The 24,366-nt window shown below is 41.6% G+C and overlaps 1 long non-coding RNA gene and 2 pseudogenes across 4 annotated transcripts; 1 reads left to right on the top strand and 2 right to left on the bottom strand.

Annotated features, from left to right (window-relative positions):
- Positions 1–207: 207 nt before the first annotated feature.
- On the top strand, positions 208–5,395 carry LOC105375291 (uncharacterized). 4 transcript variants are annotated; one of them, XR_007060334.1, is made up of 6 exons: positions 208–1,315; positions 2,805–2,913; positions 3,018–3,065; positions 3,816–3,924; positions 4,107–4,268; positions 4,451–4,829. It is a non-coding gene; the product is annotated as an uncharacterized LOC105375291 (long non-coding RNA). The 4 variants fall into 4 exon arrangements; XR_007060336.1 differs by lacking the exon at positions 3,018–3,065 and having other exon boundaries at positions 4,451–5,328; XR_927286.3 differs by lacking the exon at positions 4,107–4,268 and having other exon boundaries at positions 211–1,315; positions 3,018–3,472; positions 4,451–5,395.
- On the bottom strand, positions 14,195–14,876 carry STMP1P2 (STMP1 pseudogene 2; annotated as a pseudogene).
- Positions 16,675–20,672, bottom strand: IGF2BP3P2 (IGF2BP3 pseudogene 2; annotated as a pseudogene).

Genomic DNA, 24,366 nt, shown 5'->3' with positions numbered 1-24,366 from the left:
CAGCAAAAATAACACACAATTTAGTAATACGCAAGAGACCTTAAGTGACATTTCTCCAAAGAAGACATACAAATGGCCAAGTACTGCAAAGATGCTCAAGATTATTATTAGAAAAATGCAAATCAGTCACAATAAGATACCAAACCACTCCAGTTAAAATGACTATAATCAGAAATGATACGTGCCTGGCCCTTTCAACAGAAGGCATTGTGACATATCTCTGGTCCTATCATTTATGTGACATGACTCTCCTCTTCTGCCTGGACACTGCCCACAAGGGGCATTGTGCCATACAGTTGGGCATAGCCCCGAAGTTATGTTACTTTTCTGCCAGGAACTTGCCTACAAGGAGAACATCAGAACATTTCTGCCTCAGCATATAGGTTATATGGCTGTCATGCCTTTCATTACCACAGAGTAAGTTTTGACATTTACCTAGGCACAGCTCACAGGCATGATAATGACTCTCATATGTGGACCCCACAAGTAGGAGTAATTTTGACTCTTGTAACTTGCTTTAGAAACATAAGTGATGTCTTAGATCTCTTTCTGGCGAAAAGGTCACAGAAGATTATAACAGCCTCAGATAATTTGCAGCCCTTGGCTTGTACAGAGAGTGTCAGAACAGAACCCAGCAGAAAGGAGAAATTGTGAGTCTCATATGTACACCCAGCTGACTGTAAGGACTGTCACCATCTTACATACATGAAGCCAACTGTCACACATGAAAAGAGGACATGTGTGGTATTGTAAATCTCATCTCGAATATTCTCTCAGTGTGACTGTGATATAAATCTTTGCCAAGCATCTGTGTGATTTGACTCTCCAAACTGGTTCCAGCCCATATATACGGGATTGTGATCTCTACCTGGGCCAACCTCTAGATAATGTGACTCTCCTGCCTGGGCCCTTCTCTCAGTAAGGGTTGTGACATATCACTGGATCTAACACCCAAGTGATGTTACATTCTTGCCTGGACCATGCACAGAGACATCATTGTGACATATCACTGTGTCCACCACTTAGGTGATGTAACTCTCCTCTCTGGAATGGACCCTGAATACGGAGTGGTAGTGACATCTTCCTAGGCCAGACACACAGGTGTTGGTACTCTTTTTCCAGGGCTATGTTTCAAGGAGGGCATTGTGACATATCTCTGGACCTATCACCGAGGTGATATGATTCAACGCTTGGGCCTCACCGACGTAGAACATTGTGACATAAAAGTTAAACCTGCACCAAAGGTGTTGTAACTCTTTCACCTTGGTCCTGTCCTAAGGGAGCCCTGCAACATATCTCAGGACCCAGCACTCAGGTGATGTGACTCTTCTGCCTGGTTTCTGCCCATGTGTTAGACTGTGACATATACCTAAAGAAGTGCCTAGGTGATATGACTCTCCTATTCTTCCTGAGTCCTGCCTACTGGGGACATTGGAATATGTCTCTGAGCCCATGGCCTAAGTTATAGGACTCTCTTCTTCTGCCAGGGCCTTTAAAATGGTGGGGTTTTGACATATTCCTGAGCCCAGCATTTAGGTCATCTGACTCTACTCTTTTATCTGAACCATGTCAAAGGGAAATTTTGACCTATTGCACCCAGATGATGTTACTCTTCTGCCAGAGTCCTGAATAAAGAGGGAATTTTTGCATACTGGTGGGCCCAGCACCATGATGATGGTACTGTCCTGCCTGTGCCAGAGCCATAGAGAGTATTTTGAAATATCTTTGGCCCATTCTGTAGGTGTTTTGGCTCTCATCACTTGGCTAAGTTTTTCCACATGTGGAATTGTGTCATATTGTTGGGTCCAGCACACAGTTAATGTGACCCTCCTTCTTAGGTTCTGCCTAGAGAGGGCATTGTGACACGTTGCTTGCCACATCACCTAAGTGATGTTACTCTTTTTCTTAATTTTTTGCCCACAAATGGGATTATGACATATACCTTGCTTCAGTCCATAGGCATGATGGTCAAACTTATACTGGGATGCAGCCAATAGAAGGTATTTTGCCTCTCATTGCTAGGCTTAGGGCAATAGGTAAAATCCTCGGTTGCATATTTGTGCAAAGCTCACAGAAGTTTACAACACTGATTCATATTGTATAAACTCCTTAGGTGGTACAGAGAGCTTCATAACAAGGCCCAGCAAAAAGTTAAGATTATGACTGTCAATTACACACTCAAGTGAAAGTAACAGTTGTCACCATCCCACATTTAAAAAGCCCACTGTTGAGGTACTGAGTCTAACAATTGAAAAGAGTACAAAGATGGAATTGTGACTCTCATATGTGGATCTGGCCACAGGTGCAATCGTGACTCTTTTTTGAACCCAGCTCACAGGGATAAAAATGGGTCTCATTCCTGAACTCAGCCTGAATGAGAGATGTTGACTATCATGCCTGTGTTTAAGGCAATATATAAGATTGTGAGTCCATATGAGCATGTGGGCCTTAGAGTAGTTTGCAACTCTCATGCATGCCGTATAAAGCCCTCAGATGTTGTAGAGGATGTCATATGATGGCCCAGCACACACGTGACATTGTGACTCTCATATACCCACCTAGCTAACAGTTAAAGGTGTCACCCTCAAAGATGAGGAGATTGTGTCATATCGCTGGGCCTAGTACCCAGCTGTGAAAACTTTTGCTTAAATTGTTTCCCATGTGTGCATTGGGACATATTGTTGGGTCAGAATCATAATAATGTGACTCTTCTGCCTGGGCCCTGCCAACAAGGGATATTATCACATATCTCTGAGCCTATCAGCTATGTGATTTGCCTACTTTTCCTGTGCTTTGCCCCCAAGGAACATTGTGACATCGTTGGACATAGCATCTAGGAAATGTGACTCTTCTCTCCTGCCTAGGTCCTGCCCACTAAAGGAATTGTGACATACCACTGAGTGCAAAACCTAGGTAATGCAACTCTCCTCTTTATTCTGGAGTCTGCCAAAAGAGGGGATTGTTACATATTGCTGAGCCCAGCAGCTAGGTGATGTGACTCTCCTCTTCTTCTTCAGCCCTGTCTACAGTGGACATGGTACCACATGACTTGAGGCTGTATCCAGGTGATGTGACTCTTCTGACTTGGCCCTGCCTGCAAAGGAAATTATAATATATCCTGAGCTCAGAATCCAGGCGATGAGACTCTCCTGCCTCTTTTCTGCCCACAAGTGAAATTGTGACTTATACCTGCGTTCAGCTCACATGCACAAATATAACTATTATACCTGGACCCAGAAAGGAGAGATATTTGGACTCTTATAGCCAGTCCTATGGCCATAAGTAAAGTAAAGGGTCCCCTGTTTGTATAAAGCTCACAGAGGATTATGACACTCAGGCACATCATATAAAGCCTGAGTGGTACAAAGAGTGTCATAGCAGGGAACAGCAACCAGGTGCGATTGTGACTCTTGGATGCTCACCCAGCTGACCCGATTGTCATTCTCTCACAAGAACAGGGCCTACATACAAGGTACTAAAACTCACACAAAAGAGCAATTGAAGGTTGAAATTGTTCCTCTCGTACACAGATCTGACCCACAGGTGGTTTGGTGATGCATATTCAGCACACCTGTGAGGTTGGGGCTCCCCTACTGGAACACAATCTTCAGGTGGGATTGGGCATCTTATACATGGATCTTGCCCACTGTTGAGATTGTGACTCTGCTTTGACCCAACTCACAGGAGGTGTTGACTCACATACATGAAGCCAGGACCTGAGTGGGACTGTGAAACTTACTTCTGAATATTTCCAAGTGTGTGATTAGGACATAAAAGTTAGCCCAGCTCCTGAATAATTTGACTCTCCTTTTTAGGCCATGACCATAGATGAAATTTTGACATACGTGGACCATACACCTAAGCGAAGGTGCCTGGGCCTGCCTACAAAGGGCACTTTTACGTATTACTAGGACCAGCACGCAGGTAATGTGAATTATTTGCCTGAGCCCTGCTTATAAAAAGTATTGTGGCTTATATCTAGGTCCATCATGTAAGTGATGTGACTCCCTTCTACTGCCTTGTCCCTGCACTTATGCTGCATTGTGACGCATAACTGGGTACTGCACCCAGGTGATGTGACTCTCCTTTTTGGGTTCTTCCAACAGGAAGCTTTGTAACCTAGGTGATGTTTCTCCACTTTTGCCTGGGCCTTGACCACAGGGAAGATTTTGACACATTGCTGGGCCCAGCACCAATGTGAGGTCACCCTCCTGCCTCAGTACTGCACATAAGGGCCATTGTGACATATATCTAGACCAATTGCCTAGGTGAGGTGTCTCCTCTCTTGCCTAAGTCCTGAACAAAGTGGGGATTTAGATGTATCACTGGAAGCAGCATCCAGGTGATGGATTCTTCTGCCAGGTTCCTGCCCATAAAGAGGATTGTGACATCTCACTGGACCCACACCCACCCAGGCGATGTGACTTTTCTGCTTTCTCCTTGCCCACAGGTGATATTGCACCATAAACCTGAGACCAGTATTCATGCCTGAAGCCAGGACATGTTCAGAATGGTGACTCTCATCTCTGGGCCTTTCCACAGGTGTTTTTGTGACATATACCTTTGCCCAGCTCCTGAGTGATTTAATAACTCTTCTTAGGTCTAGCACACACATGAGATTTTGACATATACCAGGGCCAGGCTCCTTAGTGATTTGACTCTCTTGTTTTAACAGTGTCCTCAGCGGGGGATTGTAGCATACCTTTATACCCAGCATCTAGGTTACATGATTCTCCTCTCCTGCCTGAACCCTGCTTCCTGTGGAGATTGTAGCATTTCTAAGCACTGCTTCCAAATGATATGACTTTCTTACCTGAACCCTGTTCGCATGAGGCATTGTGACGTATCTCTGGGCCCATAATTTAAGTGACATGAATTTCCTATCCTGCCTGGACACTGCCCACAAGAGGCATTGTGCCTCAGAGCTGGGCCTAGCACCCATGTTATGCGAATTTTCTGCCAGGGCCTTGCCTACAAGGATAATATTGGAATATTTCTGGCCCAGCATTTAGGTGATGTGGCTGTCCTTTCTGTCTCAAAACCACAGAGGGGATTGTGACATATACCTAGGCACAGCTCACAGGCATGATAATGACTGTCATATGTGGACCCAGCCAGTAGGAAAATTTGGACTCTCATAACTAGGTTTAGGGACAGGAGTGATATCCTGGATCTTTTTCTGGTAAAAAGGTCACAGAAGACTATAATACCCACACATATTTTATAAAGCTTTTGGATTGTATAGAGTGTCATAACATGGCCCAGTACACAGGTGAAATTGTGAGTCTCGTATGCACACCCAGCTCACAGTAAAGACTGTTACTCTCTCACATGAATGAAGCCAACTGTCATATATAAAAACAGGATGTGTATGGTATAGTAAATCTTTTTCCTGAAATTTTCTGCCGTGTGATTGTCATATAAGTTTTTGCCAAGCGCTTGTGTGATTTGACTCTGCAGACTAATTCCAGCCCACATAAGGGATTGTGATATCTACCTGCACCAGCCTTTACGTGATGTAACTCTTTTTCCTGGACCCTTCTGTCAGTAGGGATTGTGACATATCACTGGATCTAGCACCCAGGTGATGTTACATTCTTGCCTGCACCATGATGACTGAAATCATTGTGACATATCACTGTGTCCACCACTTAGGTGATGTACCTCTCCTCTCTCGAATAAGCCCTGCACACAGGGAGAATAATGACATCTAACTAGATGAGGCAAAGAAATGATGGTATTCTTTTGCCTGGGCCATTCCCCAAGGAGGGTGTTGTGACATATCTCTGAGCATATTACCTAGGTGATGTGACACCCTGCTTGGGCCATGTCCGCATGGAGCATTGTGACATAAGGGTGGAACCTGAAGTTAGGTGATGTAACTCTCTTGCCTGGGTCTTGTCCTAAGGTAGCCTGTGACATACCTCAAGACCCAGCACCCAGGTGATGTGACTCTTCTGCCTGGTTTCTGCCCACATGTTACATTGTGACATACATCTAGAGAAGCACCTAGGTGATACAACTTCCCTTTTCTGCCTGAGCCCTGCCTACTGGGGACATTGGGACATATCTCTGAGCCTATGAGCTAAGTGATGTGACTCTCTTCTTCCACCTGGGCCTTTACAATGGGGCGATTGTGACATATTGCTGAGTCCAGCACTTAGGTAATGTGACTCTCCTCTTTCCTGAACCATGCCCACAAAAAGGGAATTTTAACATATTGCTGGGCCCAGCACCCAGATGATGTCACTCTTCTGCCTGGGTCCTGCATAAAGAGGGAATTATGACATATTGCTAGTCCCAGCACCCTGATGATGTGACTCTCCTGCATGTGCTGGAGCCACAGAAGGTATTTTGACATATCTTGGGCCCATTCTGTAGGTTTTTTGTCTTTTATCTCTTGGCTGGGTTTTTTCCACATGTGGAATTGTGTCCTATTGCTAGGTCCAGCACCCAGTTAATGTTACCCTCCTTCCTAGGGCCTGCCTAGAGAGGGCATTGTAACATGTTGCTTGGGACAACACCTAAAGGATATTACCCCCCTGCCTAGTATTTTGCCCACAAATGGGATAATGACATATACCGCGCTTCAGTTCCCAGGATTGATGACTAAACTTATACTGAGATTCAACCAACAGGAGATATTTGCCTCTCATAGCTAGGCTTAGGGCAATAGGTAAGGTTCTGAGTTGCATATTTGTACAAAGCTCACACAGTTTAAAACATGAAAGTGTATTGTATAAACTTTTTGGGTGGTATAGAGAGTTTCATAACAGGGCCCAGCTAAATGTTAAGATTGTGACTTTCACCACCTCTTATGATAGTGTTTGTTTTTCTTGTGCATTTGATTCACATCTTTAACCATTGTTTTCAGAACTCCTGCTTGCTTTCAGATGGAGGCTACTCAGAGACAGTACGTTCCTCCCATGGGCCCAGGCTTTACTCACCTGCACAGTGAGGCTAAAGACAAAAGTGCTACAGAGCTCAGAGGCTGCTTTTAGAGAGGGTTTATATGCACAAAACCGAGTCTTGTTGTGTGGATTGATCTAAATTACATTTTGAATTTATTTTCCCTCTCAATACTTGTAAACCTGGTGTTTGTAAAATAATATCTGTGCCTTTTTTGGTGGTGGCCATACATTCCAGAAAGTTTGTATTTCTTTCCATATAGATTTTCAGAGTTGCTATTGCTTGCTTTGGTTGCAATGATCTAACATGTGAAGGTGAGCTTTTGTTATTGGTGATTTGGTGTTGTGTTTTAACTAATTTCAATTCTCACAGTGTTAATCATAATTCCAAGAAGACTATGTTATGATAATATTTATGGACTTTGAAAATCTAACAAAAAGTCCCCTTTTCAGCAGCAAGTAAACATTAATTTTTAAAGGTTAATGGTTTTAGAAACTTGGACTAAACAACAGTCTGATTATTGTTGTTGAAATATATCCCAAGTATTATTATTATAGCAGCTGTCCATGCTCAGTTTTGTGTCTATATAATCATATCTTTATGTAATATTTTTATCTATAACTTTAAGATTTTTTCTTATATTTTTCTCATTTTTCCAAACAGTGCAGGCATATTTTTGGGTATATTACACAAAATGTATGACAAAATTCTAAATATTTAAAAGAAGAGGTTGGCTTCCTGACCATTGTAAGTTTGTATTTATTATCTCCATTTTAAATTGAATTATACATTTCCGGGTAAAGTCCTGTAATTATTTTTTAAAAATATTTGCAATGTTTTTGTCAGATAAATAAAAACTAATAGTTCGGGTATCAGATTTCCTTCCTACAGTTTAAGTTGTGTAATGTCCTGTACAGTAAATAGCATCTTTTTAAAGAATACAGTTTGCTGACTTTTACACACAGATACAGCAATGAAAGCACCACCATATTCCAGATTCAAGATAATAAACACATCCCTCCTTCTCCAAGCTTTTCTCCTCCCCCTTTCTAATTCATCTGTCCTCCCTCCATTCTATTATCCTTACCCTGAGCTGCCATTTCATGTAATGCAATCATACAGGACAGGTATTTTTGTTGTTGTGGATTCTGTAAAGTCAGCAGAATCATTTTCGCATTGATCCACATTGTTTTAAATATTAATAGTTTGTTCTTTTTTATTACTAAGTAAAATTCTTTTGCATGGTCACGTGACAGTGTGTCTGTCCTCTACCTTAGAAAGAGACATGAGGCTTAATTTTTCCTTTTGGTCTTTGTCCTGAAAACCAAAACCCAGAAAGCAGCACCTCTGCAAGATTTCTCTGTGTCTCCTTGCATTTTGCAACTCCATGATCAATTGACAGGGAAAATATCCAATTGATATTGTGTTTAAAATTGTTCAAACATGTAGAACATTAATAATAATTATTTTGGAACTCATGTTAAAAGGAAAAATTACTGACATGAGACAAGTGAGTTTTGCAATTACCGTCAACATTTTATTATAAAAATGTTCATACATACAGCATTGATTTGTTAACATTTTAATGAACATGACTTAACACATATCTACCCATCTTTCCATTCCTCCATCCACTCATCACCCCATCTTATTTTAGATATATTTCCAACTAAATTGGAGACATCAACATACTTCATGCTGAATAGTTTAGCAAGACTAATGTTAACTGGAATTCAGTATTTTTTTTAAATAAAATTTTCTTCTAAGGAACAGTGACACAAAAGAAAATATACAAATCTTAAGTGTGAGTTTACTAACTTTGAAACCAGCATACCTTCACCCCCTTTCTAGATCTACAATATTATGTCACCCCAGAAAGTAAACTCTCCTCTTCCCAGCCAATCCCTTTCTCATCATAGGTTAATTTTGCTTAATCTGGAATTTCACGTATATAGATGCAGGCCATGACACAGATACTCTTTTCTGTCTACCTTATTCTGCTCAACACAATGTTTCTGAAATTATTCCCATTGTTGCATGTATTTCTAATTCTTTCAATTTAGGACTCAGCATATGTTTAGTCCTACCTATTGAATGGCTATCTCTGTTTAATTCACCATCTTGAAAGAAATATTTAAAATTAAGGTGTTTCCAAGGACATACAATTAAATCCTGAGCAAACCGTGTAAGAATCTTATCAGAAGCCATTATCATTATGAATATTGGGTTTTTTAAAAAAAAATCAGGGAAAAGATTTATTAGCATAAGAATTATTAAAAAACTGCCATTAACATTATGAAAATTAAATAGGTTGGTGTTCATTTAATAGAATGTCAACAGAGTTTTTGGTTAAAAATAAGTTTTTTTCCTTTGTGTTCTTTATCAGAAATGAAGTATGAAGTTTCACCACTTAAATAGAAAATTATTTCTAAACTTTTCTGCCTTATAGTTCTATAGTATGGGTGGAAGGAAAGCTTCTACTCTCTTCTCTAAAGGTTCACTGCAGTAATAAACTGACAGCAGACAGCTTAACAGGAGAAGAAAAACATACAACCTTATTAATAGGCATAAACATAGGAGCCAGCCAAAAAATGAGACTGCAAGAAGAGCCAGATTCTTGATACTTAAAGAGCACCCTCTTCTCAGGGGAGAGGGAGATGAAGATATAGGTAACTTAGAGGAGCACCACTTGATTTTTTAGGGGAAATGAAAGAACTCAAGGAACAAACAATTGGCCTGAGACAAAGTTCCTCTGAGATTGTAGGGAAGAGGCGACAAACTGCAGGAAGGTAAAAAAAGAACTGCATTGCATCTCATGAGGAAGAGAAAACCCTCCAAATAATAACTAAGGAGTGTGTCTGGACAGGGTAATAAGTGATCATTTCAAATGACATTATTCAAAGTGCATGTTCCCGGTTGCAATTGGAGAGAGATCAGTATGTCAAAAGTCTGTACTTGGTAAGAATTTGGCTGCTAAGTTGTGCCATAATTTGGCTTTTAAGCCTTTTGTTTATTGGATAAACTGAGCTCTACATTTTCTCTTGCTGTTCATTATAGTAAGAATGTCTGGGTGTCTGGGGGCTGAACCTTCTTCTGAACAATGATCTATAAAAATATACTAATACCACAGTGATTTTTTATATTCAAGGGAAGAGGAAGTATGTTTTATATTTACAACCCAGATAATTGCACATCATTTAGCACTGCCCCTCAAGATATGTAGAAAACAGAAAATATGTAAGTTATAAAGATATCTACGCACATTAAACAGTCTCTACCCCACTTACTTCTGAACAGAGAATTTTCACTGTAAATTGGAGAAAGTTTTTTATTGTACCACTTTTTAAATATTCCATTAAGAAAAGTTCAGTCGAGCAGTTTGACTTGGACATCTTTGCACCTTCTCATCTTTCTCCTTGTCATCTAGTCATCTATCCCATTATCTTCTAAGCAGGGACGTTGTGGGTGACTCACAATGTTTCATCACTTCTCATTTCTTCATGTGTTTGACATTTCTCCTAGCTCTGAAGTGGGCCAGCTACTTTTCCCATGAAACCAAGCAGTGGCTGTGGGATAGATGTGGTTGCTCTTTCATCTTTTTAGATCACCCATTGTTTCTATCAAAATCCTAGTACAGTTTTTGTTTCTATTCTGTGTGCAGAAATCAGAAAAAAATTTCTACAAAGAACTTGAAAGATGCTATTTCAATAAATAGCTCAGGAATTTCAGAGGTATATAACCTACATCTGTGATAGGATTTACATTGCATCTTGCCTATGATGAAAACAAATATTTCATGTCTTAGAAGATTAAGATCATACAATATCTATATGGAATTCCTTGTGGGAATTCATTAATTAGTGAGAATGTTTTGTGTTAGGTTTAAACCAGCCTCAGTGAAGCTGGTTGTCAGGGAAGGGAAAGTGGACTCTGAGCAGAGCGGAAACAGAAGATGCTCTGCTGCAGACCAGGAAAAAGCAGGGGGTGAAATGTTACAAATTCTAGAAATCAGGGAGCTGAAGGTAATTACTTCCTTTTCAAATTACCATCTAATTGAGGTAATTCTTTTCTTCCTACTCAGAGAACTGAAGGTAATCACTTCCTTTTCAAATTACCATCTGATGATCCAATTGAGGTCAGATCTAATGGTGGGAACTGCAGTCACTCAGCCACAAATTTTAAATGCAATGGGAATAATTGGATCCCGAGGTGGCAGGGACCAAGTGGTGACACTCAGCCATCAAAGGCAGGGTGGGTGTAGTTACCATAATGGACAGCAGAGGCAAAATGGCAGTCAGAATAGTCTGACTTGTGTAGAGCTCCGGCATTGGCTAATTAAACACCGTGTTCCTAGAAGTGAAACTGATAAGAAGCCTACTGCATTCTTACTTAATTTATATAAGGAGAAAACTTCTAGGGCAAATGGACAAATGACTAATTTGAATTATAAAATCAGAGAATCATGGCGCCTCAATCAATTTCCAGACTTTAGCCAGTTTACAGACCCAGAACCTCTTGAATGAAAGGGAGGCCGGGTTGTCTTGAGGGGGGACTCCACTACATTACCGACAATTTAAGCAGTGAATCTTTCTCCCATCCTTCTCCAAGGAGACCTCCGGCCCTTTACCAGGGTAACTGTGCATTTGGGAAAGGAAAATGTCCAGACATTTTGGGGACTACTGGACACTGGCTCTGAGCTGATGTTAATTCCAGGGGATCCAAAACGTCATTGTGGCCTTCAGTTAAAATAGGGGCTTCTGGCCTCCCAGAATACTAGGGTGAATTTATATTTTTTTGTAGGATTCGATGGTGCAAGTCTTGTAGGGCAGAAACATCTTCCTGACGCTACTCCCCACCTTCTGTCCTGGCATCCTTCCCCCTGTGGAAGGAGGAACTTTTCTCTTATGTTCTTTCCAGTCCCTCCCTGACAGGGAAGCCTGGAGACTAGGGTGTCTGCTTTCCACTGCAGCCACAAAGTATCGGGGTGCCAGCTAGGAGGCGGCCTCCTGGGGTGCTCTTGCGAAGGTGCTTGGTAGGAGCATCTGCTGTGCTCTGCTCTGTGGACTTTGATCCTCCTGGGCAGAGGACATTGGCGGCGCCAAGGGGGCAGCAGGCAGCCCTGCATCCTGGCCCTGTCCTGGCTGGCAGTTGTGGTGTGACTGACTACCACCTAAGGTACCCAGGAAAGAAGGGGGGCCAGGGCCTGGTCATGGGGTCACCTATTGTTCTTTGAACTTCCATTGGCAGGGTGCATGTTTTACTGAAAACTGTTGGTGTGGAGTGCACCTTCCTTGCATGAGGTGGGGGGCTAGGTGCTGGGTGCCATGGTGAACCCGGAAAAAAGGCAGGTGTCCTTCTCCCACTGTTCATTTTTTTTTTCTTTTTAGGAGGAGTGTCACTCTGTCACCCAGGCTGGAGTGCAGTGGTGTGGTCTTGGTTCCCTGCAACCTCTGCCTCCCGGGTTCCAGCGATTCTCCTGCCTCAGCCTCCTGAGTAGCTGAGACTACCGGCGCATGCCACCATGCCTGGCTAATTTTTGTATTTTTAGTAGAGAGGGGTTTCACCATGTTGGCCAGGCTGGTCTCCAACTCTTGACCTCAAGTGGCCCGCCCACCTCAGCCTCCCAAAGTGCTGAGATTACAGGCTTGAGCCACCGCCCCCGCCACGCTGGAACAATTTGTCGCTGGTTGCGGGGCTTCCCTTCCTCCTCTCATACCGGCCCACAGTCTAGTGTCGCTACCTCTGCCCCTAGCAACAGCCTTTGCCGGGCGGGGGGGGGGGGGCCTCGCCCCCTCCCCACTGTTAGAAAACTGCGACCCTAATGTTTGCTAAGAAGCAGGGGTGAGGTCCTTCCCGTCGCCGACTCCCTCCCTGGGAAGCGGCATGTTTTCTGAGCCAAGAACGCATTGAGGATGTGACCCACTACCTGGCCAACTGTGAGGCCGGGGCTTGGCGGCGGATCCCACTGCTCAGCGGGGCGCTATCCTTTCCAGGAAGGGAGGAGACTTACCCAGCACGGAACACACTTGCCAGCGGGCCGCTTGGCAGGTGCCATGTGCTGCTGGCGACCCTTGTCAGCTTTGCATTAGTCAGGTTATGTAGAGAAGGAAAGAAAATTTCCTGCTTAGCCGATTTGTCCTCCCTCTCTGCTTATTGCTTAGGAGATAGAACCGAAATCCAGATCCGCCGTAGCAATTCACATTCCATTACAAAACTCTGCACAGCTTCCGAGCTAGCACCAGCACATACTTGGGGAACATCGGAGGGATTTTCTTCTTCTTTTGTGGGTGGTGATGATCGTGGTTGCAGAGAGAGATAGAAGGGTGAATTAAAAATATAACTATTTGATAGGTTGAAAAACCTGTCCGGGATTTTTATTAATAGAAAATTGATCTCTCGTTTTTAAGAGTTTAAATTTAAGCTTAGCCCTTTCAAAGTCAATGGAAACAAACTGCCCGTTGAATAAGGATGCTGAAAATAGTGAGAAATTTCTGTCTTAACTTAAAATGATTTCTGCAAAGGCAGAGTTTTCAGTGCACTCACATATATTTGAGAGGGTTTTTGTTGTTGTTGTTGTTGTTGTTGTTGTTGTTTTGACAGAGTTGCGCTCTGTCGCCCAGGCTGGAGTGCAGTGGTGCGATCTCGACTCACTGCAATCTCTGCCTCCCGGGTTCAAGTGATTCTCCTGCCTTAGCATCCCAAGTAGCTGGGATTACAGGTGCATGAGAGGGCTCCCCCCCGCCCCCACCCGGATACATACTTGTCTCTAAATCTGTGCACGATTATTCTGAAGGAAGTTTAATAGAAGTGGAAGGTGAGGGAAAGAGAACTGCAAAGAGAAGGATGTGATTGTGTTTCATTTTTTCACACTCGTCAAAAGCATCCTCTAGATTTGGTGCTTTTGAAAAAGCACTTGAAATTAGGCAGGTACAGTTTTGAAGCCATAGTTTAATTAGGGAGTCTGAGGTTAGAGACCAAAGTCTTGGCTGAAACCTCTTTGAAAAAACAAAAATCACTTAGTTCAGTGCTACATTCAAGATTCCACAGAACTTCTGCAGGAATGGGTATGAATTCCTTCGAAAGGATCCTGTGCTCCATTTCAGGTACATGAAGTTACACTGTCTTATCATTCTTAAAAATATGGCTAAACTGGTTGCATATTAGGGTGTCTTGTTTTTTAAAGGATTTGCTGGATGTGTGATACTTTAAAAAATGCCACCGATGCTATATATACTGGTATATAGAATGTCATTCTCTGAGGTTTTCTTTTCTTTTTTATTTTTATTCTAGATATTAATTTTAATTACTTTGCAGCAACATAATTTAGTACCAAATGTTGAACAAGTACCCATTATAATGGCTAAACTGTGAAGTCAAAGTCACTATTATTTGTATCTGACCAGCTATACAAAACTCATTAATTTTTCTCTTGACAAAATGTAGTAAAAATCGGAAACAATAAAGAAGATACTACTCATTAAAAGTCATGTTTACTAATCTAACACCATAATTCCAGTCTTAGAACCTCCCATGCAGTTAGAAAGGGAGTATGGGAAGAGGTGAGTATGTTGGAAATGTAGGGTAGTTCTCAAATTGGGGCCCCATTTTGCTTGCGCTAAAGCAAAAAACACAGAGTCTAGCAAAGAAGAGGAGCACTGAGGCTGGAGATAAAAACAAAAACTTTTAGTTCAGATGGTAAAGGAGGCCCTCAAGAGCAGTAGAATCAGCATATCCCGAAGGCAGTGCTGGAGGCAGTCTCATGAACTAGGGAGTTTCTTCTTGGCATCCAAGTCCTTTTTAATTTCTTCAAGTTTTTTAGCCAGGTTTGGTATGTCATAGTTCTGAGCCAGATATATTCCAACCACATTGCCCAATGTAAATCCAAGCAGGAACTGGAGCATGATGTCAGTGGGGAGGGCGAGGAGGGCGCTAAGGACTGCTGCAGCTCCGCGGGCCCGGCCGAGCCTGCCTCCCCATGAGCCAGGGGAGGAACCCTCTCTGGGGTTTTCTAGATACCATTTTATTTCTCATCAGAAATTCACACTCTAAGCCCTTATGGCAGACACGTGTTTGTTATGTGATGGGAACATGAATCTCACTGAGCTGGTACAGGTGCTGCACCCATTCCTAACTTGTTACACCATCCAACAAGTAACCTTTTGATGAAAGGATCTTTTATTTTAAGTTTCTTCAGGCAGACTCCTGAGGTCTTATTTGCATCTGACACAGGTACACCATGTGGCCTTTATCTAAAGCATTTTTTTCTTTTTTAAGAGAAAAAATAAGTCTTACCGTATTAGTCCTGCATTTGATCAATAGCTGTTTATTGGCTACCTGGTGTATGCCAGGCACTATACAACATAGGTGCACTGGTAATAAATGCAACTGCCCTACATCAGGGGTCTCCAACCCCTGGGCCACAGACTGGTATAAAGATAAGACAGTTGCTAGTCTCATAGATGATATGTCACATTGAAAGAGACTCATCCAGCCATGAAGAGGTTATTTATATCTGTGTTAACTGCTAAAAGTTAAGTATGTGCTGGGATGCAGGTGAAGGAAGGCATCCCGTGGAAGTGACATTTTAACTAATATCTGAGGGATGGGTGACAGGAGGTAAAGAATGCTTCCGAGAACAGCTGGTACAGAAGCCCTAAGGTTGAAAAGGTGGACGTGTCCAGGGAAGTGAGAGAAGTACAGTGTGTTTGGAACAAGAAAAAAACACTGAATGAAGTAAATGACAGGAATGGTGAAGAAGGTAGGGACTAGAGCAGGCTTGTAAGAACTCTGGAAAGCTGTGAAAAGTGTTGGGCCAAAAAGCAGCATGATTATCAGCCAGGTGCGGTGGCTTAAGCCTGTAATCCCAGCACTTTGAGAGGCCGAGGCAGACGGATCAGCTGATGTCAGGAGTTTGAGACCAGCCTGACCAACATAGAAAAACCCCATCACTACTAAAAATACAAAATTAGCCAGGCATGGTGGCGCATGCTTGTAATCCCAGCTACTTAGGAGACTGAGGCAGGAGAATCACTTGAACCCGGGAGGCAGAAGTTGCAGTGAGCCAAGATCATGCCATCGCACTCCAGCCTGGGCAACAAGAGGGAAATTGCACCTAAAAAAAAAAAAAAAAAAAAAAAAAGCAGCATGATGAGATTTACATGTTAAGGACTATTTTTACCCAGAGTAGAAAATGGACCTTGTAAGAGGAAATAATAATTGGCCTTCTCTTTGGAAGATCAGTTAGAAGGCTAGTTTATGAAAACTTTGAAAAGCAGTGGTGGCTTAGAGTATTGAGGCAGTAAAGATGGGAGGTCAGATGGATTTGATAGAAGAGGTAGGAAAAACTTGCTAATGGAATGGTGTTGAGAAGTGCTGGATGACTTTCTGATCTTGGCTTTTATAGCTGGGTGGATGCTGATGCCTCACTGATATTGGAATGCTGGATTAAGCAATGTTTATGAACAGGGCATGTTCCCTACCCTTTAAAGAGTTATGTACATGTTTTTTATGTTTTTAGCTTTTTCTTTACTTGTAATGTGTTTTAGTTGGTTAAAAATTATGTACCTGGCATGGATGAAGCATGAAAAGTTCTTATGTAACAGAGAAAAATCAATGTTATTATCTTACCTGTTAAAATAATTAAATGGTTTCCTCCTACCCACTTCTTTTTCTCCTTTCTTTTTAATTTCTTGATACTAAGAGGCAAAGAAAAGATTTCTTATAGATTGCCTGAGCTTTTGAATAGTTTTCTTTTCTTTTTTTTTGGCACCTAAATGATGAAAAACTTTATCCTGCGTCAAGGTATCTGGAAAATGAAGCTGCATTTGGGGCACATTATAGATGAGGAATGATCCATATATGATGAGTACAAAACTCAATTATAGAATTATTTCTTAGCTAGTACCAGATACTCCAAATTACAAATGCTTAAGTAAAAGTAAAATATCATTTGCCATACTAAAAGGCTATAAGTGAAATATAATAGAATTTAAACCAGCAGATATAAATGCAGCAACTATGTGTATATTTTTTTAAAATCAAATATTGGGGGAAAAAATCAAATATTGAGAAAAGCTCTGGCCTTAAACACATCTCACCTGAAATCCAACCAGAAAGCCAGTCCATGATTTTAGTAATTTTAATTCATTGTATGAAAAAAAATTATGAATGCTAGGTGAATCCAGTGACAAAAAGGGCACTTTTTTGATTAAAACTACAAAAGAAACTTGTTTTCTGAGAACATTAAGGAAAACATTTTAAATCATTTTCAAAATGTCTAATTGATATGATCTTCAGAAAAACATATCTAGTCTGTATAGAAATTCATCTTGAAATAAGAATGAGGCAGAGTGATTTTTTTAAAGGGATATATATCCTTCAGGTCAGTGTAACATGACTGTGATCATCTTACAAACAAAACTCAAAGTCAATTCAGAGAGTAGTGTGGCCTTGGAGACCACCCACACCCAACACAATTGTACATACTGGACTTTGCTGTCCAGTTAAGGAGTGAGCAAATGAGTTCAGTATCAAAGGTCATGTTTTCACAGTCATTCCAATTATATCCCAAAAACTTTTCTTGTATTCTCTACCTTTTGACTTTTTTAAAAAAAGAACTGATTGCAGAGTATACAGAAATCCTGCTATACTTTATATACTACTTTAGGCAGAGTCTAATTTTTTTAAAATTTATCATTGCTTAAAAATCTTCAAAATAGTTTAGTGAGGCTCATGACAGTGCCAGCCACATGGAGATGTGCCTTTTGTTGCCTTTAAACACTGTCACACCATCTATGACTGTCCCATTGGTCTGAAGTGTACTGGCAAACTAAGCAACCTGTAAGACAAGCTAAAGCTTGCTTTTTGCCAATCAGTTGAAAGTCCTGCATCTCTTCAATGATGCACTTTCTCTAGGTATTAAGGGTCAAAAACACACAGCATTTATTATGCATTCAATCATGTAGCTAAACAAAAAACTGAAGTCTCCTAAAGCCATTTAAACCAGCCGTTCCAAAGCCTCCTGCCACCACTTTGTTAGTACCATCAACAACGTTTTCAACTATAAATGAAAGAATAAATGGTATTGCTGCTCTCCAGATATTAGGCACTGCTCCATATCTTTGAACATTTGATTTTTTAATAACTGTGTCAAAAGCCTCAAAAAACCCTGAAATTAATTTTCCAGCTTTACTGTCATCAGCCAGAAGTAAAATTCTTAATTTGCCTGTTAGCTGATTCTGTTACATTTTAAATTTATTTTTTAAAAAATGATTGGACTTCTATCATTATAAAGTATATAAAATTTTCAAAAATTAAGGAACTGTTGCCGGAAGTCAGGGACCCCAGATGGAGGGACCGGCTGAAACCATGCAGAAGAACATAAATTGTGAAGATTTCATGGACATTTATTAGTTCCCCAAATTAATACTTTTATAATTTCTTATGCCTGTCTTTACTGCAATCTCTGAACATAAATTTTGAAGATTTCATGGACACTTATCACTTCCCCAATCAATACCCTTGTGATTTCCTATGTCTTTAATCTCTTAATCTCATCATCTTCATAAGCTGAGGAGGATGTATGTCACCTCAGGACCCTGTGATGATTGTGTTAACTGCACAAATTGTTTGTACAGCATGTGTGTTTGAACAATATGAAATCTGGGCACCTTGAAAAAAGAACAGGATAACAGCAATGTTCAGGGAACAAGAGAGATAACCTTAAACTCTGACTGCTGGTGAGCTGGGTGGAACAGAGCCATATTTCTCTTCTTTCAAAGCAAATGGGAGAAATACCACTGAATTCTTTTTCTCAGCAAGGAACATCCCTGAGAAAGAAAATGTGTCCCTGAGGGCTTTGGAGGCGGCTGTCTTTTATGGTCGTAGCTGTAGGGATGAAATAAGCCCCAGTCTCCCGTAGCATTCCCAGGCTTATTAGGACGAGGCAACTCCCGCCTAATAAATTTTGGTCGGACCGGTTGTCTGCTCTCAAACCCTGTTTCCTGATAAGATGTTATCAATGACAATGCCTGCCTGAAACTTCATTAGCAATTTTAATTTCGCCCCAGTCCTGTGGTCCTGTGATCTCGCCCTGCCTCCATTTACCTTGTGATATCTTATTACCTTGTGAAGCATGTGATCTCTGTGACCCACACCCTATTCATACACTCCCTCCCCTTTTGAAAATCACTAATAAAAAATTGTTGGTTTTACAGCTCGGGGCATCACAGAACCTGCTGACATGTGATGTCTCCCCCGGGCACCTAGCTTTAAAATTTCTCTCTTTTGTACTCTGTCCCTTTATTTCTCAGACCAGCTGACACTTAGGGAAAATAGAAAACAACCTACATGAAATATCGGGGATGAATTTCGCCCAATAGGGACAATTTTGCTTTTCATTGTATTACTGAATACCTGAGGTAGTTGAATAAAAATGCATGTTTAATACACCTGCCAACACCATTCAGCACTTCCCTTAGGTTACTCATGTCAGTGTTAGGTAAAAATAAAACTGAGAACAGTTTTTCTATGCTAATGACTTAACATTTAAGTTCTTGTGATAATTATTCTGATCCAATTTTAACAATTGAATTTAGGAGCAATCTACTTGAATTTAGTGAAAGCATCAGTAAGCCAATTTCTGGAATTATGGGGGAATATTAAGAATTAGAATATTTGTTATACTGTGAGACTACAACAAAGGGAAGTGCAGAGCTCTTCTCTTTCCCTCCCTCCCCCACCCTCTTTTTGTTTTGTTTTAAAGCTGGGTGTCATACATTTCGGAGAGCATAAAGTATACATTCTCACAGAGACAGGAGTTCAAAAGTTGCCTGGTCCTCAGAAACAACTGGCTAGGTAAAAACTTGTGCATGTGATTCTGGATAGGGGGTCAGCGCCTGTCTGTTGGTTAAGCAATCTGTCTTTTGTTTGCCATCTGCCTCTGTGGTGGGCTGTTTCCTGAGTCTTTACTTCCATCTTGACTGAGGTGGTCCACTTTGCAGAGCCTTCTGCTGTTGTGCTGTTTTACCTCAGTCAGAATTGCCTGAATTTTTCTCTGAGCAACCTGGCAAGCATAGAAGTGACCAGTTATTTTGACAACCACTTGGTCATTCTCATCAGGTGTCTGGTCATGAGGGACAGCAACTTCTGCACTTGACAAATTCTGAAGTTTATTCACCGTTTTGCCTCCTTTTCCAATAACTCCGCCAGCAACAAAGGATGACACTGTGATATAAGCTTCAAGTTTAACCTCTTCTTTAGGACTAACAAAATTTTCTTCTTTAGTTTTTCCATAAATTCTTCCCTGAGCCTTGAAGTGAGCCTCTGGTGGTCCAGTGATCATTACCATCCTCACTTTAGCATCTGGTGCTTCTGCTGGAGCAATGTTAATTGAAGCTCCGGCAAAGCGAGAAAGCTGCTTGATGTGCTTGGCCCTGCTTGCCGATGATGACACCGACTGATAGAGCCTGGATAAACAGATGAACAGTCTCCGTTTCTGATTGCTCAAACTGCGGGTAGGTAGGAGTCATGGCTGAAGGCTGCCCTGAGGTGGGAGGTGGCATCCCTGAAGTGGGTGGGAACAGACCCAAGGCGTTCAGATTTAATCCAGGAATTAAATGTGCTTGAAGATCCATAGAAGCAATATCATTTTCATATGACTCCCTTATTTGCTTCATGATCTCTTCCTCAGCTTTGGCACATGCCTCAACATTGCCTTTAACTGTAATGGTGCGTTCTGGATTATACAGCGTCAATTCCTGAAAGCACCTTGATGGCCTTGAGGGCCCAGCTCTCCTCTGGGCAGTCCATGAACGCATAGCCAGTCTTCACCAGGAAGGATCCCAACACTGGGATCTTGGCGTCCTTGAAGATACTTTCTAGGTCCAAGGGGACGGCGTTCTCGTGGAGGTTTCCGATATACAGTTTGTTCATTGTGAAGAATGGTTGTTTAAAAAAATTAACGAGAAGAACGAGAAATTAAAACCACCCATGGTGATGGATGGATCCAGCTGGTTTTGTTGCTCTCATCTTCTCACCTTTAAAATACACAAACACAGAAAGAACCAAGCACAAGAACAAGGAGTGAAAAATCAGATCCGAGGCTTGTTTTTCCTTGTCCTAGATATGTTTTAAAAGAGAAAGAAAAGAAAAAGCCTAGCTACAACCCAAATGCATCAACCAGTCTTCCTAAGTCTCGCTTTTGAATAATTTTCAAATGAGATGTACACCTAAATTTTAAGAGTGTTTGAGTTTGTGTTTGCTTTAGTGGTGCTTTATATCTGTCTGATTGTAAGCATAATGTTCATGGAAAGAGACTTTTGGTAGGAATCAAACTGGGACTCTTACAATGGCTTAAGTCCATCAGAATAGTTCTGATGCTACTTAGGAGCATCAGAACTCCTTTCTTTGCCTGATTTTTCAACTTATTTCTTAATTGGAACCCCATAAAGAACATGAATGGTCTTCTGATATCCTTAATGTCTTAGAGTTATATCAATATTTTGCTTACCAGTAATCTGTATGAAAATAAAGTTTATTTAGTAAACAAAAGTTGCTGTGTATCTACTGTATGCTAAGATCTTCACTAGATCTGTGGGTGCCAAAGAAAAAGATTTACCCCTTTTACAAAGAGTGAAACTTATTCCCACAGTGTGATTGTCTAGCCAGCATTTAAATACTTCTGGTGATGGCAGACTTACTACCTACCCTTAGACAGTCCTTGGGTTCCTACTATATTCATTCACTTTTTTTTTTTTTTTTTTTGAGACAGAGTCTTGCTCTGTCACCCAGGCTAGAGTGCAGTGGTGTGATCTTAGCTCACTGCAACCTCTGCCTCCTGGGTTCAAGTGATTCTTCTGCCTCAGCCTCCTGAGTAGCTGGAATTACAGGCACCCACCACCACGCCCAGCTAATTTTTGTATTTTCAGTAAAGACGGGGTTTCAACCATGTTGGCCAGGCTGATCTCGAACTCCTGACCTCATGATCCGCCTGCCTCGGCCTCCCAAAGTGCTGGGATTACAGGCGTGAGCCACCGCACCTGGCCTAATTCACTTTTTTTTCCCCCGGCAAATAAGATCTTTCTGGAATGAGATAGACAATGATGTGTTTTCTGCCGAGTTGGTAAATGCTAGAAGCTGGAGTGCAGACATGTTGTTCTGTGCTTTATGCAACTCAAGAGACAGTGTGCAATCTGACCCCCAGAGAGTTCCATCAGGGCGTGCTTCAACTACTCAGCAAGTGGCCATCTTTTACATGAAGATTTCTGCTCCTGAGAGAAGATATCTGTCTCCCTGGGCTGCACAGCCATCCTCTTATGTGTGAACTGGGCCACAATCCTCTAAGACAATCTCACATGGAAGTCTTAACGTGACTCTCATTTGGGGTAATGCTTGTCTCTGATGTCATCCAAATGACTCACCAAAACCTCAAGTAAGCCCCACTGTGCTCCAAAGAAAGTTCTCTTTTATGGTGTCAATCCTGACAGATGCAACCTGAACATCCCTTTGGGCCCCAGTGAGCACTAGTCTCTCCATTTTAGGGAAAATTGTGTATTTGTACTGTTCTAGTGTTGGCTTCCTCAAGGCCCTGGTGTGTTGAGTTTTCTATGCTTTGGGTATGGGCACACCTTATATACTCTGTCTTCTAAATATGTTAGATCATCTATTGCGGTAAGATTAAATGAATGAAAGTTGAATATGTTTTCCGTAAAGTCCCTGAGAAAATTAATGAAATAAGTTGCTAAAGAAATATATGTTTTCAAATTTTAGTGAGTTTACTTTAGAGAAATTAAAAATTGTATCAGGTAAGCCAGGCCATGTAATGTGTCTTAAGCATGTCTGTGATATGCTCATTCTTTGCACACTCAAAACCACTGTTGGTTAGGTGCGGTGGCTCATGCCTGTAATCTCAGCACTTTGGGAGGCAGAGGCAGGTGAATCACTTGAGGTCAGGAGTTCAAGACCAGCCTGACTAACATGGCGAAACCCCATCTCTACTAAAAATACAAAAAATTAGCCAGGCATGGTGGTGCACACCTGCAATCCCAGCTACTCGTGAGGCTGAGGCAGGAGAATCAATTGAACATGGGAGGCAGAGGTTGCAGTAAGCGGAGATCACACCCCTGCACTCCAGTCTGGGTGACAGACTGAGACTCCATTTCAAAAAAAAACAAAAACAAAAACAAACAAAAAAACCCACTGTCATCTTGCTAAGAATGTGGCATTGGGATATATGCTCAAGAAAAAGGGAGAAGTATATGTATATTGGGAAAGTGGAGTGGTTAGCACTGATCAAATTATTATGTTTATAGATTCTGATTTATTACATTACTATCTTTACAGTAAGTGATTTTTTTTTTTTTGAGACAGAGTCTCATTCTGTCGCCCAGGCTGGAGTGCAGTGGGGTGATCTTGGCTCACAGCAACCTCCGCCTCCTGGGTTCAAGCGATTCTCCTGCCTCAGTCTCCCAAGCAGCTGGGATTACAGGCATCCACCACCACGCCTAGCTAAGTTTTGTATTTTTAGTAGAGATGGGGTTTCACCATGTTGGCCAGGCTGATTTCAAACTCCTAAACTCAGGTGATCCACCTGCTTCGGCCTCCCAAAGTGCTGGGATTACAGACATGAGCCACCATGCCCAGCAGTAAATGAAATTGTGTAAAAGCTCATTGGACCAGCTTGTCTCTAGGAGGTCTGATAGTAGCTAGTGCTGTCTTTTGTGTCTCTTCAGAAAACTAAAAAAAACCAGAAATCCTGGCCAGGCACAGTGGCTCACACTTGTAATCCCAGAACTCTGGGAGGCCGAGGCAGGTGGATCACCTGAGGTCAAGAGTTCAAGACCAGCCTGGCCAACGTGACAAAACCCCATCTCTACTAAAAATACAAAAATTACCTAGATGTGGCGGCAGGTGCCTGTAATCCCAGCTACTCAGGAGGCTGAGGCAGAAGAATTACTTGAACCCAGGAGGCAGAGGTTGCAGTGAGCCGAGATCATGCCACTGTACTCCAGCCTGGGTGACAGAGTGAGGCTCCATCTCAAAAATCAATAATTGGACAAACAAACAGAAATCCAGTCCTAAACGCCAGAAACTATGACATGCTTATATTACAAATGAATCTGTCTAGACTACTTTTAAATAAGTTTAACCTACAACATCCTAGTTACAGACAAACTTTGATGAAAAGCATTTTTTAACCAGACCTGCCTGTATTTGCTTTAAATCAGATAAACCAGAAATAAAGTATTTCATTTTCTCTTCTTCCTGTGCTAGACTTATTACCCCAGTAGGTCTCCAGTTTGACAAGTCAAGAATCTAAACTCATACTTTAATTTTTACCCTTTGTTTGTTGTTAGCTTTTTTTATGTAGAAACACACTCAGCATGATAGCAGTAGGAGCAGAAGTCAGAAGATCTAATGATTATTGAGTGCTAGCTACCAGCATCCTAATTTTTTTTC

The sequence above is a fragment of the Homo sapiens genome, chromosome 7 (genome assembly GCF_000001405.40).
Source record: "Homo sapiens chromosome 7, GRCh38.p14 Primary Assembly".
In the NCBI taxonomy this organism is placed as follows: Eukaryota; Metazoa; Chordata; class Mammalia; order Primates; family Hominidae; genus Homo; species Homo sapiens.
This window is presented reverse-complemented; position numbering and strand designations above follow the sequence as displayed.